The sequence below is a fragment of the Homo sapiens genome, chromosome 2, assembly GCF_000001405.40.
Source record: "Homo sapiens chromosome 2, GRCh38.p14 Primary Assembly".
NCBI classification, from domain to species: domain Eukaryota; kingdom Metazoa; phylum Chordata; class Mammalia; order Primates; family Hominidae; genus Homo; species Homo sapiens.
Window position 1 is genome coordinate 1,764,265 of NC_000002.12, and position 18,250 is coordinate 1,782,514.

Sequence of the window (18,250 nt, forward strand, 5' to 3'; positions counted from 1 at the left end):
CCAATAAGAGACAAACAGAGCCAAATCATGAGTGAACTCCCATTCACAGTTGCTTCAAAGAGAATAAAATACCTAGGAATCAAACTTAGAAGGGATGTGAAGGACCTCTTCAAGGAGAACTACAAACCACTGCTCAATGAAATAAAAGAGGACACAAACAAATGGAAGAACATTCCATGCTCATGGATAGGAAGAATCAATATTGTGAAAATGACCATACTGCCCAAGGTAATTTATAGATTCAATGCCATCCCCATCAAGCTACCAATGACTTTCTTTGCAGAATTGGAAAAAACTACTTTAAAGTTCATATGGAATCAAAAAAGAGCCCACATTGCCAAGACAATCCTAAGCCAAAAGAACAAAGCTGGAGGCATCATGCTACCTGACTTCAAACTATACTACAAGGCTACAGTCACCAAAACAGCATGGTACTGGTACCAAAACAGAGATATAGACCAATGGAACAGAATAGAGCCCTCAGAAATAATACCACACATCTGTAAGCATCTAATCTTTGACAAACCTGACAAAAACAAGAAATGGGGAAAGGATTCCCTATTTAATAAATGGTGCTGGGAAAACTGGCTAGCCATATGTAGAAAGCTGAAACTGGATCCCTTCCTTACACCTTATACAAAAATTAATTCAAGATGGATTAAAGACTTAAATGTTAGACATAAAACCATAAAAACCCTAGAAGAAAACCTAGGCAATACCATTCAGGACATAGGCATGGGCAAGGACTTCATGACTAAAACACCAAAAGCAATGGCAACAAAAGCCAAAATTGACAAATGGGATCTAATTAAACTAAAGAGCTTCTGCACAGCAAAAGAAACTATCATCAGAGTGAACAGGCAACCTACAAAATGGGAGAAAATTTTCGCAACCTCCTCATCTGACAAAGGGCTAATATCCAGAATCTACAAAGAACTTAAAGAAATTTACAAGAAAAAAATCAAACAACCTCATCAAAAAGTGGGCAAAGGATATGAACAGACACTTCTCAAAAGAAGACATTTATGCAGCCAACAGACACATGAAAAAATGCTCCTCATCACTGGTCATTAGAGAAATGCAAACCAAAACCACAATGAGATACCATCTCGCATCAGTTAAAATGTTGATCATTAAGAAGTCAGGAAACAAGAGGTGCTGGAGAGGATGTGGAGAAATAGGAACACTACACTGTTGATGGCACTGTAAACTAGTTCAACAATTGTGGAAGACAGTGTGGCGATTCCTCAAGGATCTAGAACTAGAAATACCATTTGACCCAGCCATCCCATTATTGGGTATATATCCAAAGGATTATAAATCATGCTGCTATAAAGACACATGCACACATATGTTTATTGTGGCACTATTCACAATAGCAAAGACTTGGAACCAACCCAAATGTCCATCAATGATAGATTGGATTAAGAAAATGTGGCACATATACACCATGGAATACTATGCAGCCATAAAAAAGGACGAGTTCATGTCTTTGTAAGGACATGGATGAAGATGGAAATCATCATTCTGAGCAAACTATCGCAAGGACAGAAAACCAAACAGCATGTTCTCACTCATAGGTGGGAATTGAACAATGAGAACACTTGGACACATGTTGGGGAACATCACACACCAGGGCCTGTCATGGGGTAAGGGGAGTGGGAAGGGATAACATTAGGAGATATACCTAATGTAAATGATGAGTTAACGGGTGCAGCAAACCAACATGGCACATGTATACATATGTAACAAACCTGCATGTTGTGCACATGCACCCTAGAACTTAAAGTATAATAATAATAATTTAAAAAAAGGTGAACATTGGTTCAGTCCAGAAAGGTGGGACAACTGGAAGCAGGGGAGGGCCTTCCAGGTCATAGGTAGATAAAAGAAAAGTGGTTGCATTCTTTTGGGTTTCTGATGAGCCTGTCCAAAGGAGGCAATCAGATATGCATGTATCTCAGTGAGCAGAGGGGGGACCATGAATAGAACAGGAGGCAGCTTTGCTCTAAGCAGTTCCCAGCCTGACTTTTCCCTTTAGCCTATGATTCTGGGGTCCTGAGATGTTTTCCTTTCACAGAGCCCTATCCTCTGATACCTGGGAGTGAGACCTCGCTGGAACACGGGGCTGCTGCAGATGTAGTCAAGATGAACTCGTACCAGAGAACCCCGGGACCTGAACCCAGTGACTAGAGTCCTTTTGAAAAGACGGAAGGCAGAGATGCAGAGGCCAAGGCCATGAGAGGCCGAGGCAGAGGCCTGGCCAGGGGTCTGTGGGATCCCCAGCCACAAGGCCGCTGAAGAGGTCCTGGAGGAAGCATTCTCCCCAGCCTGCAGAGGGAGCAGGGCACGCCCAAGCCCTACCTTGGACTGCAGGCTTCTGAACCCTGTAGTTGAAGGCTGTAGTTTGCAGCTCTTTGTTACAGCAGCCACAGGGAATGCGCCTCCAGCCTGTCTGGAAGTCAGCTCTTCCCACAGGGTGTTCAAGGTCAGGTGGGCTGCTCCCAGAGGAGCAGGTGCAGGCAGAGACCACAGGCTGCTGGAGGGAAGGGGATACCCAGCCTTTGCTGAGGCTCTGTCCCACTTCTGTTTGTCGTATTTTAGCCATTTGGGGTGCACCTAACCACTGAGCTTATTCCTTCTCTAGCTCCCTACCTCCACCACCCAGACCGTCCCGCTGTGCAGCAGCCAGGCAGCGCCTCTCTTCGGGGCCTCTCCCCCAGTCCCCCTGCTGAGCTCTGGACACTCTGGGATGGACCCCCCGCTCAGATCAGGCAGGGTCTGGGTCAGGCAGGGGCCAGGGGCTTAGCCCGCAGTGGCCTGAGCCCAGGCAGCTCGCTGAGGAGGGACGGCAGGGAGAGACTTGGGTGTCCACCCTGCCTCATGGGCTGCTGACCCTCCCCACACTCCATCCTGCCCTTCTGCCCTCCTGCCCTGGCTGCCACCTTGTCCCCTGGACTGGCTCTCAGAACAGCCGAGCACATGGGGGATGGCCCAGAGGGGTCCCGGCCCCCGACCAGGTAGGCATCTCTGGGTCAGCTGTGCCCCAGGGGGATGGGTTGAGTCTCAGACCGGCCAGTGCCCCAGGGACCCCTTTCCTTTCACTTACAGGAGAGTTCCTCTGTCTCACTGCCTGGGGGAAAAACCAGCTGAGCCCGTCATGCAGATTTTCTAGGGAGCTGGGCCTGCAGGAGGCCTGGCTTTTGCCCTCTGCTCCTGGGAGGTGACCTCTCGGCCGGCCCTCAGAATGTCTTGACTAATAAGAGCGTCTTTCTTTACCTGGGGCCGTGGGCCACCCTGGAGAGCCGATGCTTACAGTGTGACTTGTGGTGGGGCCCAGCCTCAGGCGGACCTGCAGGCACGTGCCGCACCGGATCCCCAGAGTCCGAGCCCGCCCCACCCCCCACGCCCTCCGTGGGGCTGGTGCGGCCTCCCAGGTGCTGGTCCCCCAGCACTTACCACTAAGCCGCCGCACCTGCTTCCTTCTTATTCACCCTGGCCCTCCCTCTGCCTCTCCACACCACCAGGCTTGAGTTAACTCACACCTCCTTCCTCTGTATCGTCTCTGCAGTATTTCTCAAATGTACTAAAAAATCGTAAGAATGACTTTCTGTGGATGTTTGTTAAAAGCATTTCCCAAGCCCCTCTCCTAAAAAATCGGAGTCAGTAAGTGTGGGGTGGGGGTAGAGGGAGGTGGGGGAGGTGACTTTTTTTTTTTTTTTTTTACAGGTAAGAGGAGAAACAATTTGGTATCAAAAGAGCGTCCTGACTGGCCTCCCTGCCTCCAGCATCCCATCCAATCCACGGCCACTCACTCCAGAAGCCCGTCCAATCCGCAACCACTCACTCTTTCCAAGGCCAGCGCTCCGATGATGCTGTAGCCTCAGTCCCGGCCTCTGTCAAAGGCCCTCCAGCCCCTGACGCCAGGCCACCTTTGAGCTCCTCTTCTAAGCGCCCCCTTTAGTATCTTGCACACGGCTGTCCCCGTGTGAGCAGCTGGTGTGAGTAGAGCGTAGGGAGCTTATTTGGCAATCTCTTCGATGATCCTTGTGCGTGTCTAATGACCTGTGTTTGGCACACGACGTAAATGGAAACCCAGAGAAAGTTGACCAGCCTTCCAAGGTGGCGCAGCTGGTAAATGGCGGTGCCTAGATTCAAATCCGGCTCTCCGCGGTTCCACAGCCTGGGCCTGCTTCCCCTTCCAGGAGGGCTTGAGTTTGGGTGACTGATCTGCCAGCACCGCTGACATGCTCCTATTTCATGCTGCTCCCTCTGCAGCTCTACCCATTCTTCAAGGCCCAGGGTGGGCGGGCACAGTGGCTCACACCTGTAATTCTAGCACTTTGGGAGGCCAGGGTGGGAGGATTGCTTGAGGTCAGGAGTTCCAGACCAGCCTGGGCAGCATAATGGGACCCTGCCTCTACATAAAATTTAAAAACAAATTAACTGAGCATGGAGGTGCACACCTGTGCTCCCAGCTACTCAGAAGGCTGAGGCAGAAGGATTGCTTGAGACTAGGAGGCTGAGGCTGCAGTGAGCTATGAAACTGTGCCATTGCCCTCCAGCCTGGGTGACGGAGTGAGACCCCATCTCTACAAAACAGTTAAAAAATTAGCTAGGCATGGCCGGGCTCGGTGGCTCACGCCTGTAATCCCAGCACTTTGGGAGGCCGAGGCGGGCGGATCACGAGGTCAGGAGATCAAGACCATCCTGGCTAACACGGTGAAACCCCGTCTCTACTAAAAATACAAAAAAATTAGCCAGATGTGGTGGCGGGGGCCTGTAGTCCCAGCTACTCAGGAGGCTGAGGCAGGAGAATGGCGTGAACCTGGGAGGTGGAGCTTGAGTGAGCTGAGATCATGCCACTGCACTCCAGCCTGGGTGACAGAGAAAGACTCCGTCTCAAAATAGTAATAATTAATAATAATAATAATTAGCTAGGCACAGTGTGTGCACCTGTGGTCTCAGCTACTTGAGAGGCTGAGGAAGGAGGACTGCTTGAGCCCAGGAGGTAGAGGCTGCAGTGAACTATGATCACGCTGCCGTAAGCCAGCCTGGGTGACAGAGCAAAACCTTGTCTCAAAAAAGAAAAAGACTCAGGACCCATCCATGAACCCCATTTCCATTTCCACTGAACCTGAGGAATCCCCATCCTCGCTCTTTTACAGGCTCCCAAAATGGGGTTTTGTGTCAGCATGACATCCTTGGGCACATATCCAATCTCCCTTCGTGGATTTTGAGGCAAAGATTGGCGCTTCTGTTGCTTCCCGTGAGGGATCTTGGCTAACTGGAGTTGGAAATCAATAGCACTGGGAGTCCTAAAGGGAGTTAAAGGTTCTAGATTTGAGGGCCAAGAAATAAATGGGGAAAAAACTATTAAAATATTACATTATTTTGAGCTGAAGTTCATACCTGCATTAATTCTAACCTAATCTTCGTTGATGTTTCACACGACTGCTCTTACAAAACCTGGTTGGCTTGGGCTGATTTGTTGAGATGCCCAGAGGAATTTATTCTACTTTCCCTCTTAAAACCCCAATGCTAAACACGTGGGACTCCTGACCCTCCCGAGGTTGACTTGGAAGCTGCAACCCTGGCTCTTTCTCTGCTAAAAGGCCTGCTCAGGAGAGCTCAGGTGAGTGCCTGGTGAGATGCTGCCCCCTGGTGGTGATCCTCTTCTTAGTCCCAGGTGCCCAAGGTGGACCTTGCCCACGTCCATAGGGAAATAGTTCATGTAAGGTGGGTACTACGCTGGAGAGCCACAGCGGGAAACAGCTGTGCTTCTAGAAACCCCGTCCAGTGAGATGTGTGTCTCTTGGGTGGGTCTGACCAGGAGAAGTGGGCGAGCTCTTGCGTGTGTCTTTGAGGTGAGGGTTAATCCCTGAGCATCTGAACACAGCCAGGGCTGGGAATGGCTGAGGAAACAACTCTCCTCACTCGCTGCCAGGCTCTTTCCTTCCACCTCTGCTGCCCGCAAACCCAGTTTCTTCTGTCAAGAAAGCCAGAGGGGACCACGCTTTCCCACCCTCTTGGAGAGTATGCAGGTGGGAGTTGGGTCTGGGCTCCTGCAACCCTAAAGCGATCATGGCTGTCACTCATGTACAGACAAGGCCAGAGCTTCCTGTCCTTTGAAATCAATGCTTATGAATATTTTTCCCCAGAACAGGAATGAGTGGTCAATGTAGAAAAATTGGTGAATAAATTCAAGCAAAATTTTTAAAACATGAAAGGCACACATCAAGAATACCATTTTTTTCTATTCTGTATTTATGAGAGTGCACATTTTTCTTATTTGCACTTGTGCGTGGGGCCTGGGTGTCCCACCGTCCAGGCCCCTCTTCTTCCCCTCTGCCCAGACTCCCCAGCCCCCTCTGGAAACCACTGGGGGAAGTGAGCATGCCCTTCTGGCTAGAATGTTCTAGGAAACCAGCACCTCAGGAGGCCAGGCAGAGGGGAAGGCTGTGGGGCCTGGTCTCGAGGAATAGGTGGGAGAGGCGGGTAGACACCTGGTGTGGAGTTCGAACAAGTGAGATTTCTTTGGGCATCTCAAGTTCAAGTCTGAGGCCCAAAGTCGTTCCAATGAGGACAAGGTGCTGGTGAAGGTGGCCTGGTGGGGGTCTCGGACGGCAGCCGCCGCTCAGCCCCGGAGGTCCCAGAGGCAGGGCTGGGGTGGCCACGCTACTCACTGAGGCTGCGGTCACAGTGACCACAGCTGCTTAGGGGGAGGGTGCCAGGTCAGATCCTGCATCCACCACTCAAAGCTGGGCGCTGTGAGGCTGGTTCCCTAATCTCTGTGTCTCTGTGTGATGTGTGTGACCGGGAGGGAGCCATGTGGGGTCCGAGTGAACTGAAGCCCCAACAGTACCAGAGCACCCTGTGAGTACATCTAATGGGTTCACAAGCACAGACGCAGTGCCAGGCCAGGCTTGGCATCACCATGGAGGCCCCCATGAATTCATCTAATGGGCTCACACACACAGACGCAGCGCCAGGCCAGGCTTGGCATCACCATAGGGGCTTCTAGCTAAGGTGCTAAAGTTCGAGTTGGCGAGGTGTCACGGGAAACACACCTCCTCCCAACCCACGCCTCACAAACCTCTCCACAAATGTGGAAGGGAACGGCAACAACTGAGTTTCAGAAAACTCATTCAGCCAAAGTGCGGAAAGCAGCAGCAGCAACCAAGAGCAGACGGCAAAGACAGAAAGAAGTCTCTCATTTTCCCACAGCTGGGGTCAGAGGTTGTGCAGTTTGGAGTCAGGGGACAAGCTGGGCCCTCCTCCTCCCGGAAAACAGGGAGAGGGACGTGGTCTTCCTTGGTGGTGACTTTTCAAGGAGATGGCTCTTGGGTCCTTGAGAAAACTTTCTGGATACCTGAATCTGGCCAGAGGCTTCTGTAGCCATTAAACAGATTTACATACATTAGAAAAAGAAAGAAAGAAAGAATATCTGTAGGGAAAGGGAAAGAGGAAGGATCTTATCTTCAGTAATAAGAATGCAGCCTCTCACTGTATTTGTCCTGGCACTGGGAGCTGGTTAGGGTGCATGTTCCCAGGCTGCACCCCAGAGGCCCCTGGATAGAATCTGCAGGAAGAGGGTGGCCACTGTTCACACGAGGCACCTCCTGCCTCTGGTCCTTTCTACAGCAGCAGTGGAACTCTGGTCTCAGGTGGAATGCACTGGACCCTCCCTAGCACTGGGTACAACTCTGGTATTGGGTGGAACACACTAGACCCTCCCTTGTACTGGTGGAACTCTGGTCTTGGGTGGAATGCACTGGACCCTCCCTTCTTGCTGCCCCTGAGGAATGTTCTGGGATGAACCACAAGTGGGGACCATAGAGGGCACCTGACAGAGGGGTGCTCGGTGTCACCAGGATCCCAAGGGCCTGACGTTGGAGCCAAGGGCAGTGCATGTAAAGAGGCCTAAGTGAATGGCTGGCCCCCAGCCTCTGTGAGTGTCAGGCTCCTGGGCTCTTATGTGTCAGTGTTTCATCAAATTTGTATTGGCCTCTCATCAGATCAGCCCAAGGATCCACGTTCCAGGCCATTTCTGCAGCAGTTAGCATGTCTCACAGTGGGGTTTCTCTGCTTGCTCCTTAAGCCTTGCTTTTTCAGGCTTGCCCTCAGAGTGGCCATTAGCCCTGATTGTTTCAGGACCCCAAGGCTGGGCCCATCTCTACCCAGAGCACACCAGAACGAGGGCACCCAGCAGTGGATTCACAAACACAACTGAGCTCCCAGCTTCCAGTTCCTTACACTGGGATTTCTTACTGTGCCAAGCAATGTTATAAATGAACAGAGGCCTGTGGGCTTAACTCTCAGAGCTTCTCCTGGAGAGCAGCACTGCTTGTCAGAGCAGCCCCTCTAAGCCTCAGGAGGCCAGTGCCCTTTTCCATTGGCCCATTGCCACTCTGCTCTTAAATCCACATAAGCATATCCTAAGTTAAAAAAAAATGCAATTTGCCAATTATTCGATGAGTGGCAGGTCTCAGGAAGAGCTTGCCTGGTACACAATTTGCACCAGGAAGTGGAGGCTGCATTAAGGACAAGGGCTGGAGGCCATCTCTCCAACCGGAGGACCAAAGCTGAGAGGAGAGGAAGCATCAGGTGGGGCTCAGAAACTGAACCCTGCCCTTCATCAGAAAATACGAGATCAAGATTCAAGTCCAGACTGAAGGACGACTTTCCAGGCCTGAAGAGCGAAGGGACCCTCTGCTTGGGCTGCGCTGAAAGAATTTTAAAAATGTGACTGCAGGCTAATCCTTCCAACTTTCCATCAGATAAGCCTAAAGCATTTAAGAACATTTTTGAACCAACAGTTCATTAAATTCCAGGACATATTTTGAGCACTACAGCAAATAATGACACGTAATTCACAAGCAACAGGCAAGTGGAGGCTCTAAGCTGAATGGCCCAGGGACCCTCCAGCCATGAACATCCAACAAGAAGCCTCATGTACTTTGTAACTGGCTAAGCTGCTCATAACAACGCTGGAAACATGTGGAAAGAGATCAGGGTGCGAAGGCATTGCATAGAGACGCCCAGGAGAGTGGGAAGAGTCCCCAGAAGTTAGCGCCAGCAGGGCGGCCTCCAGGAGGGCAGGCAACACCTGCAAAGATTCGTCACCTGATGCTCTAGATCCTTCTGAGGCCAACCCATCAGCTTCTTCGTTGTCTTTGTTGCTGCTAGGACCAGGAACATACTTCTGTTAAAGTGAGAAAAAAAATCCAAATGGTTTATTATTTATACCAAGTGTTTTTCCACATTGCAATGCAACCCTCAAATCAGGAATGAAATTGTGTCATCTGAGCGTTATTGTACTTAAGGAGCTTTTTCATGTTGTCCACAGTCAAATGAAAGGGAAAAGTGTTCATTATTGGGTATAGATATTCTGCATATGAGATCACTGTCAACTCTCAAAATTCAGGAACAATGATTATTCTGCCTAGAAGAAGAAAGTATACATTTTTAATTGTAACATCAATATTTCCAACAGAAAATTTAATTTACTGATCTGAGTAAATGTGAGAAAATGGTGGCCCTCTTCCAAATGCTGCCTGAGGGCCAAGGTACCAAATTTCCCAGCCCTTCCTGTCACTTGTCACCCTAAAAACAAACATAAAAACAAACAGAGAGGTTCTCTGAAAGAAAAGAGATTTATCTGGAAATAAAGCATTGCTATGGGAGTGCACACACCATAGTAAACTCTGTGCATGTTCAGGGAGGAAAAGGAGGACAAAGGTTTTTAAAGGAAAAAAGGAGGAGGATTACATACTTGTCGGGGTAATTACCCTTGGCTGCCCTTACGTTGCGTTGAGTGTGAAACTGCTGCCTTACCTATTGTAAACTCAGCTTAAAGGGTTCTCTGTGCACAGTAGCTGGGTGTGTAAACAGACACCTGCTCTTCTGCCCCTACCGAGCTTTGGGCAATTCCAGGCAACCAAACGTTCAAACCATGTCCCAGTAAGGCAAATGCCGAGCTGTCACCAATGTGGCTGTTTCTGTGCCTGATTCCGTTTTCTGTTCCTCACATGGCTTTTTCTGTCCATAAATCTTCTCTGACCACCCGGCAGTGTCCAAGTTTCTCTGAGCCTGTCCTGGTCCCTACCCGATTTGAGAACCGCTCTTTACTCAGTGAAACTGTTAAATTTAATTTGTCTAAAGTTTTCTGGTTTTTTTTTTTCCCTACAAAGATATATGACAAGGGTGACACACCTGTCTGAGGTTGGCCAGGTAGTTGGTGGGCAGACATCCTTGCAGAAGTGTTTCTTGTGTCCAGTTGCAATGGCCTTTGTGTGCAGCTGTGGTTTTTGCAGGCTTTTGTGATACTTTTTGTGTTCAGGCATTCATGCAAGGGCACCCTCTCCTCATGGCCTTGCCTGGCTCTATTTGTTAGGGTTTTCTTGACATCACTGACTCCATTTTGACTGTGGCAACTTTCTTGCATTCAGACTTCTGTGTTACAGTGGTGGTGGTACTTTAGATTCTTTTGTCGATTGACCTCATTGTCTCCTCCAATTCTTAAGGACCACCTTAATTTACTGTAACATGTTTGAAGAACACTATAGAAAACAATATGGGACAACTGGAAGACCTTATATTTTCAATAGTTGCTACAATGAAATTGATGTAAGATGTTGAGAAAGAGTGTATCAGGGGCATTTGACACATCTCTTACTAAGAGCTACCATAGGAAGTCATCCCTTTTTGTGTGTGGTGTTGTTACTGGAAAGGAGTTTGGATCCAGACCCCAAGAGAGGGTTCTTGGATCTCTTGCAAGTAAGAATTTGGGGCGAGCCCATGAAGTGGAGCAAGTTTATTAGAGAAGTAAACAAGCAAAGAATGGCTACTCCACAGACAGAGCGGGCCTGAGGGCTGCCTGCTGGCTATGTTTATGGCTATTTCTTGATCACATGCTAAACAAGGGGTGCATAATTCATGAATTTTCTAGAAAAGGGGCAGGGAATTCCCGGCTCTGAGAGTTCCTCCCCTTTTCAGACCCTATAGGGTAACTTCCAGACATTGCCCTGGCATCTGTAAACTTGTTTAGATCATATTTAAAGAAATATTGGCTGCATGCGGTGGCTCATGCCTGTAATCCCAGCACTTTGGGAGGCCAAGGTGGGTGGATCACCTGAGGTCAGGAGTTTGAGACCAGCCTGGCCAGCATGGTGAAATCCCATCTCTACCAAAAATATGAAAATTAGCCAGTCATGGTGCTGGTGGCGTTTTTTTTTTGCATGCTAATGCATTATAATTTGCTTATAATAAGCAGTGAGGACAATCAGAGGTCACTTTTGTGGCCATCTTGGTTTTGGTGGATTTTGGCTGGCTACTTTCCCCAATCCTGTCTTATCAGTGGGGTCTTTGTGACCTGCATCTTGTGAAACCAGTCCTGCCGACCTCCTAGCTCCTCCCGTGACTGAGAATGCCTCACCTCCTGGGAATGCAGCCCTGTAGGTCTCAGCCTCATTTCACCAGCCCCTACTCAGGATGGAGTCGCTCTGGGTTGAACACCTCTGACAGTGCTCTACCCAAATGTCCAATCCCCACTGCCCAGCTCCAACAGGAACCCAGCACCCCTCTTTAGGGCTGATGTCCGGTCCCATCCAGAAATAGCTTCACCTCCAAGGCTGAGTCCCAGACCTGTGCGTCTGCCTCCACTTGGCCTTTGATTTCTTGGCTCCTGTGGTCTTTCCCCCGGCTGCCTTCTTTGCAATGACCTCCAGAAAGATGGACTCACACTCACCAGAAGTGAACGTGTCCTGAAAAACGACTCTGTAGACAACAGAATGTCTAAGGGTAGAATTCAGGATGGCTATATCAATATTTCTTTTTTTTTTTTTTGAGACGGAGTCTCGCTCTGTCGCCTAGGCTGGAGTGCAGTGGCACGATCTCGGCTCACTGCAAGCTCCACCCACCGGGTTCAAGCAATTCTTCTGCCTCAGCCTCCTGAGTAGTTGGGATTACAGGTATGCACCACCACGCCTGGCTAATTTTCATATTTTTGGTAGAGATGGGATTTCACCATGCTGGCCAGGCTGGTCTCAAACTCCTGACCTCAGGTGATCCACCCATCTTGGCCTCCCAAAGTGCTGGGATTACCGGCATGAGCCACCGCATGCAGCCAATATTTCTTTAAATATGATCTAAACAAGTTTCCTAAGTTCATACATGTTTATCATCTATCAGTCAGAATTCCTTCCGTAGGAATTACTGTCATTACGTTTTGTACTGAAAGTATCAGTTACAATACGAGTTACAAACTTTTTGGGAGTGTGTCTATTTTTTAAAGATACAAAGTGACATACTGTCAGTCACCACTATTAATTTTTAATTCATTAATTAATGTATTTATTTTTCTGAGACGGAGCCTCGCTCTGTCGCCCAGGCTGGCGTGCAGTGGTGCGATCTCGGCTCACTGCAAACTTCACCTCCTGGGTTCAAGAGATTCTCCTGCGTCAGCCTCCTGAGTAGCTGGGACTACAGGCGCCTGCCACCATGTCCGGTTAATTTTTATATTTTCAGTAGAGGTGGGGTTTCACCATATTGGCCAGGCTGGTCTTGAACTCCTGACCTTGTGATCCGCCCACCCCACCCTCCCAAAGCACTGGGATTACGGCATGAGCCACGGCACCCGGCCTTTAATTGGTTTTAATTTTAATAGCCTTTATCAAGGTATTGAATTTATTTTTTAGTAACTATAGCTCAAATTAGTTTTCTGTATTCAATAACTCTCTTGGCATACTGAGGAAAACTATTTCACTTTTTGCTTTTTCAGATGATTTTATTAAAAAGGTAAAGAGCCACACCAACAGCTAATGTTAGACAGAAAACTGCCAAAAGTTGTCAATTAGAAACCTGGGAAACTTCTCAGAATCTTCTCTGTAGTTCAGGGGAAGAAAAATATTTTGTCTCTATTTATCTCAGGTTCTCCAGCTTGGACCACACAAGTGAGACCAGGCAAAAGCAGACTACTAGGAGAAAGCAAACCAAAGATTATAGCCTCTGCTTCCACAGGGGAGCCCCCAGAGATGAGTGCTTGCCAGGGGTGTTCAGAGCCTGAGTTTAAATACCAGCAAAGGAGAAGGGTTGAGGGCTTCTGGGTGGAGGAGGCAAGTTATGAGGAGGTGATCAGAAGAAGTGCTGTGTGTGAACGAGAGCTGTTGGGCGGGGCTGCTGTGCAGACAGAGGCCTGGCCTTCTCCATTGACAAGAGCAGAAACTGTCTTGTGAAGAACAGGAGGGAATTCACCTTTGAGGTCTCTGGTTCTTGAATGACCTAACTTTAAGAGTCCTCGTACAGGAGACAGAGACACCTTTTACAAAGGTGACTTGTCCTCACAAAAGGAAAGCTTTTGCCCTGTTTTTAGAGTTTTCCCTGCATCTGCTCATTCTCAATGTCCTTCAGCTCAAAATCATCTTTATGCCAAATGGGCCTATTTTGGGGTGGCAAGTTCTGGTACTTTTGCTTGACAACACCTCTTCCGTAGACCGTTTTCCATCTGCTTTGCTTCCAGTTATCAATGTGTTCTGTCACTCCTGAGAGACTAAAATCTAGCACTTTGGAGGATAAAATGACTGCGAGTTCCTGTTAAATTAAGTTCAGCCTAGAGCTTCCTTTCTCTGTACGCTGTAACCTACTCTTATGCCAGTCACCAAGTTTTGGCTCATCAGAGGAGGCCAGCTGCTCAAACCTTGTTCAAATAAGGCAAATGCCGAGCCACAACCAGTCCGGCTGTTATCTCCATTTTCTGTCTGTCACTTTCCTTTTGGTGTCCCTAAATCTTCCACTTCATGGCTGAGTGCTGGAGTCTCTGAGCCTTCTCTAGCTCAAGAGGCTGCCCGACTCACCAATCATCCATTGCTCAATTAAACTCTGTTAAATTTAATTTGGCTAAGGTTTTCCTTTTAACAATGCATTTAACTGTCATTTCAGCTTTCCAAAGTTTACTCTTTTAACAAATATCGAGTGCCTTTTCTAAAGTGAAAACTCTGCTGTCTCTGTATAATTCTCCTAAGGCATCTGCTCTCAGATTCCGAGCATCTAGAATTGGGAGGGTCAGACCCACATACACAAGAGAGTTAGAAGTTGCAGATGTCACCAAGACGGGCAGGGTGGCAGCAGAGGGAACGCTCTTGTGATGAGCAGGAGGGAATTCATCTTTGAGGTCTCTGGTCCTTTAACGACCTTTCTTTCAGCTTCACAGACATTTGCATATTGGCTCCAATTTTAAACTTGCCCTAATGGGAACCCAGGGAGTCAAGATCCTTCTACACACAAGACAAACAAGGGGGCACATGAGATTTAGCCACTTCTGTATTCTACTTTTGCTAGATCATTTTGAGCTAAAGGACATTGTGAACGAGCTGTCGACCTAAAAGGAAGGAAAAGGCAGAAGCACAAAATGTGATTTAAAGAGTTGATCTGAGCCAAAGCAAGGACAGCAGCCTAGAAGACTCAGCCCCAGGCAACCCTGGTCAGACACTCAGTACTCAGCCCCAGGCAACCCTGGCGGGATGCTCAGGACTGAGCCCCAGGCAAACCTGGCTGGGTTTGGCCAGGAGATCCATTCACCTTTGGTATAGGGAGGTTTTTTTTTTTTTAATTTTATTATTATTATATTTTGTTATTATTATATTTTAAGTTTTAGGGTACATGTGCACAACGTGCAGGTTTGTTACAACATGTTGGTGGGGTGGGGGGAGTGGGGAGGGATAGCATTAGGAGATATACCTAATGCTAAATGGTATAGGCAGGTTTTTAAAAGCAAAAGCAGGGGGACAGAAAAGGGCTGGTGGAAAGTGGTTTGCAGCAATTCTCATTGGTTTGCAGCAATAGCATTGATTAGCGATTGCGGATACATTGGTAAGCTATAGGCAGGGGTTACAGTGTCTGCTGGGGCGTAAGGAGGCTACTGTGGCAACAGAGAGCGGTTTCAAGAGGTGGACACACAGCTCAGGGCAGTGCTGGGTCCTGATTGCTGTCTCATTTGAGCCTCTCTGGGCCTAAGAATTTGAAAGGGTTCACATTCCTTAGATAAAAGTTACTTTCTTTCCTCACAGTAGATTCAGAAAAAGCTCTAAAAACAGGAACAAGTTTTCCTTTTGGGAAGGAAATTTACATTTGTCAAAGATGTCTCCCTCTTCTGCACTAGGAAGAGCAGAAGTCTCAGCAATTCCTACTGGGGAGTAAGCCAGGTTTGAATCAGCAGGCCAGCCTCACCAGCAGAGCCTCACCAGCAGAGCCTCACCAGCACAGCATCACCAGCAGAGCCTCACCAGCAGAGCCTCACCAGCACAGCCTCACCAGCAGAGCATCACCAGCACAGCATCACCAGCAGAGCCTCACCAGCAGAGCCTCACCAGCACAGCCTCACCAGCACAGCCTCACCAGCAGAGCATCACCAGCACAGCATCACCAGCAGAGCCTCACCAGCAGAGCCTCACCAGCAGAGCCTCACCAGCAGAGACTCACCAGCAGAGCCTCACCAGCAGAGACTCACCAGCAGAGACTCACCAGCAGAGCATCCCCAGCAGATCATCACCAGCAGACACTCACCAGCAGAGCATCACCAGCAGAGACTCACCAGCAGAGCATCACCAGCAGAGACTCTCCAGCAGAGCCTCACCAGCAGAGCCTCAGCAGCAGAGCATCACCAGCAGAGCCTCACCAGCAGAGCATCACCAGCAGAGCCTCACCAGCAGAGCATCACCAGCAGAGCCTCACCAGCAGAGACTCACCAGCAGAGACTCACCAGCAGAGCCTCACCAGCAGAGCACCACCAGCAGAGACTCACCAGCAGAGCCTCACCAACAGAGACTCACCAGCAGAGCATCACTAGCAGAGACTCACCAGCAGAGCCTCACCAGCAGAGCATCACCAGCAGAGACTCACCAGCAGAGCCTCACCAACAGAGACTCACCAGCAGAGCCTCACCAGCAGAGCACCACTAGCAGAGCATCACCAGCAGAGGCTCACCAGCAGAGCCTCACCAGCAGAGCACCACTAGCAGAGCATCACCAGCAGAGGCTCACCAGCAGAGCCTCACCAGCAGAGCCTCACCAGCAGAGACTCACCAGCAGAGCATCAACAGCAGAGCACCACCAGCAGAGCCTCACCAGCAGAGCCTCACCAGCAGAGACTCACCAGCAGAGCCTCACCAACAGAGACTCACCAGCAGAGCCTCACCAGCAGAGCATCACCAGCAGAGACTCACCAGCAGAGCCTCACCAGCAGAGACTCACCAGCAGAGACTCACCAGCAGAGCCTCACCAGCAGAGCCTCACCAGCAGAGCCTCACCAACAGAGACTCACCAGCAGAGCCTCACCAGCAGAGCATCACCAGCAGAGACTCACCAGCAGAGCCTCACCAGCAGAGACTCACCAGCAGAGACTCACCAGCAGAGCATCACCAGCAGAGACTCACCAGCAGAGCCTCACCAGCAGAGACTCACCAGCAGAGACTCACCAGCAGAGCCTCACCAGCAGAGACTCACCAGCAGAGCCTCACCAACAGAGACTCACCAGCAGAGACTCACCAGCAGAGCCTCACCAGCACAGCCTCACCAGCAGAGGCTCACCAGCAGAGGCTCACCAGCAGAGGCTGACCAGCAGAGGCTGGCCTACCTGCTTTCCCTGCTCACTTTCCTGTAATTTGCCAACTGCACCCAGAAGCTCAAAACTCCTTTCCTTTGTTTGGGTCTGAGATGATGGATAAGCACTAGTCCTACCCACCCCGGCACTCTCAACACTGGGTGCTGCTGTAGGTACCTGTGAGAGGCACGTGTGAATAAACTTCTGTTTTTCTCATGTTAACCTGTTTCTTGCAAGTCTAGTTTACAAGGCCGCAGCTGTGGAAACTGTGATGGGTAGAGGAAAAGGATTTTATTTTTTTCTCCCCTCCACTGCAGTCCTGCCCACTTAACGTTCCATTAGCTAGAAACCAGTTTGCCGTTACCTGATTGATATCTGACTGCTCTATTTAGGCTCCACCTGAGGAGAAGGGGTGCGGGAACTGGAGCCCCACCTGCCCCAGGAGGAGAGCGCAGACTCTGATGAGCTGCTGCAGTCTCTCCTGGTGAGCTCCTGCGGGGCCGTGAATGGGGACCGCAGGCTCTGCACGAGTTCCCACACAGGGAGAGCCTGTCCTGGGCTCCATGTCACACAGGGAGGGGCCACCTCACCTTCTAGCCCAGTGGCAGACACTTAAAGCCTCTGATGTTAGTTCCAGCTCCCCCTTCAGCCCTAACTTTTAATTTTCTTTCCTTTGTTCTTTATTTTTTTGAGAGCTGCAAGCTTGCTGCGGTCACAGTGCTGTTCTTCCCATGAGTCACCCACAGGACCGCCTGCCTCCTGTCCCCTTCACGCGCATGGGCCGATGTCTCACGGAAGGAAGTGGTGCATTGGAGGGAGCTCAGATGCTCCCCTGGGCTCTTCATCTGGGGGCAGCTCTCAGGGTGCAGGGGGCTCAGACTGGGCTCTCTGCACTGCCACACACCTGCCCGGTGACTTGGGACAAAGCATTTGGCTTTCTCAGCTGGTTTCCTGTGGTGCACTAAGGAGATAATGACACCTACCTTTGCAGATGTTGGGGCTCAGAGCATGATACCCCAAGGTACACGCCTTGGCTGTGGTGTTCTTTGAGTTGCAGGATGCTGAAAGGCTCTGACGCTAGGCTGTGGTCTCTCATTCTCCTCTCTCACTCCTCAGCCTCCCCTAAAGCAGTCGTAGAAACTGGAATTCCTATGCCCCTAGGCCGGTCCTAGAAACTAGAGGCCCCCTCCCCAAAAGCAAGCCAAAAAGCCTGGAAAGGTCACTCTCTCCCTTCTCCCTTCAAGACACTCATTCCAGAAGGGTCCTGTCCCGTAGACAGAAGGAAGAAACTGTAGGGGCCAAGGGAAAACCCCCTTTTTACCCTCTGAAGGTTTGCTAAAAGTCTACTGGTGAAAGGACGATTAATAAGAGTAAAGGCACGCAGATAGGAACATGCACGGGGTGAGGAAGTGGCCGCCTCACCATGTGATGGGACAGACGCTGATACACCCGCCCTTTTAGGGGAAAGGGAGATGGGGCGTGTGGATGAGTTTAGCGGGTAGTAAATGCCCTTTAGGAAATTCAATGGGCTTGGAGAATATACAGTGATCTGAGGCAATGTCTGTTGGGCCCACAGAGCAGACAATGGCTTATGACACATGTCTGTCCAGGTGGATTGAGACTTTGGTCTTTCTTTCTGTGACAGGAATCCAGC

General features: G+C 49.6%; 2 annotated features.

The window, feature by feature from the left end:
• Positions 16,762-17,262: an enhancer, noted in NCBI's record as "H3K4me1 hESC enhancer chr2:1784798-1785298 (GRCh37/hg19 assembly coordinates)". NCBI's record gives its function as "activates a minimal SCP1, AML or CMV promoter by ChIP-STARR-seq in primed H9 embryonic stem cells {active_cell/tissue: H9 hESC(primed)}" and the evidence as "EXISTENCE:reporter gene assay evidence [ECO:0000049][PMID:30033119]".
• Positions 17,263-17,763: an enhancer, noted in NCBI's record as "H3K4me1 hESC enhancer chr2:1785299-1785799 (GRCh37/hg19 assembly coordinates)". NCBI's record gives its function as "activates a minimal SCP1, AML or CMV promoter by ChIP-STARR-seq in primed H9 embryonic stem cells {active_cell/tissue: H9 hESC(primed)}" and the evidence as "EXISTENCE:reporter gene assay evidence [ECO:0000049][PMID:30033119]".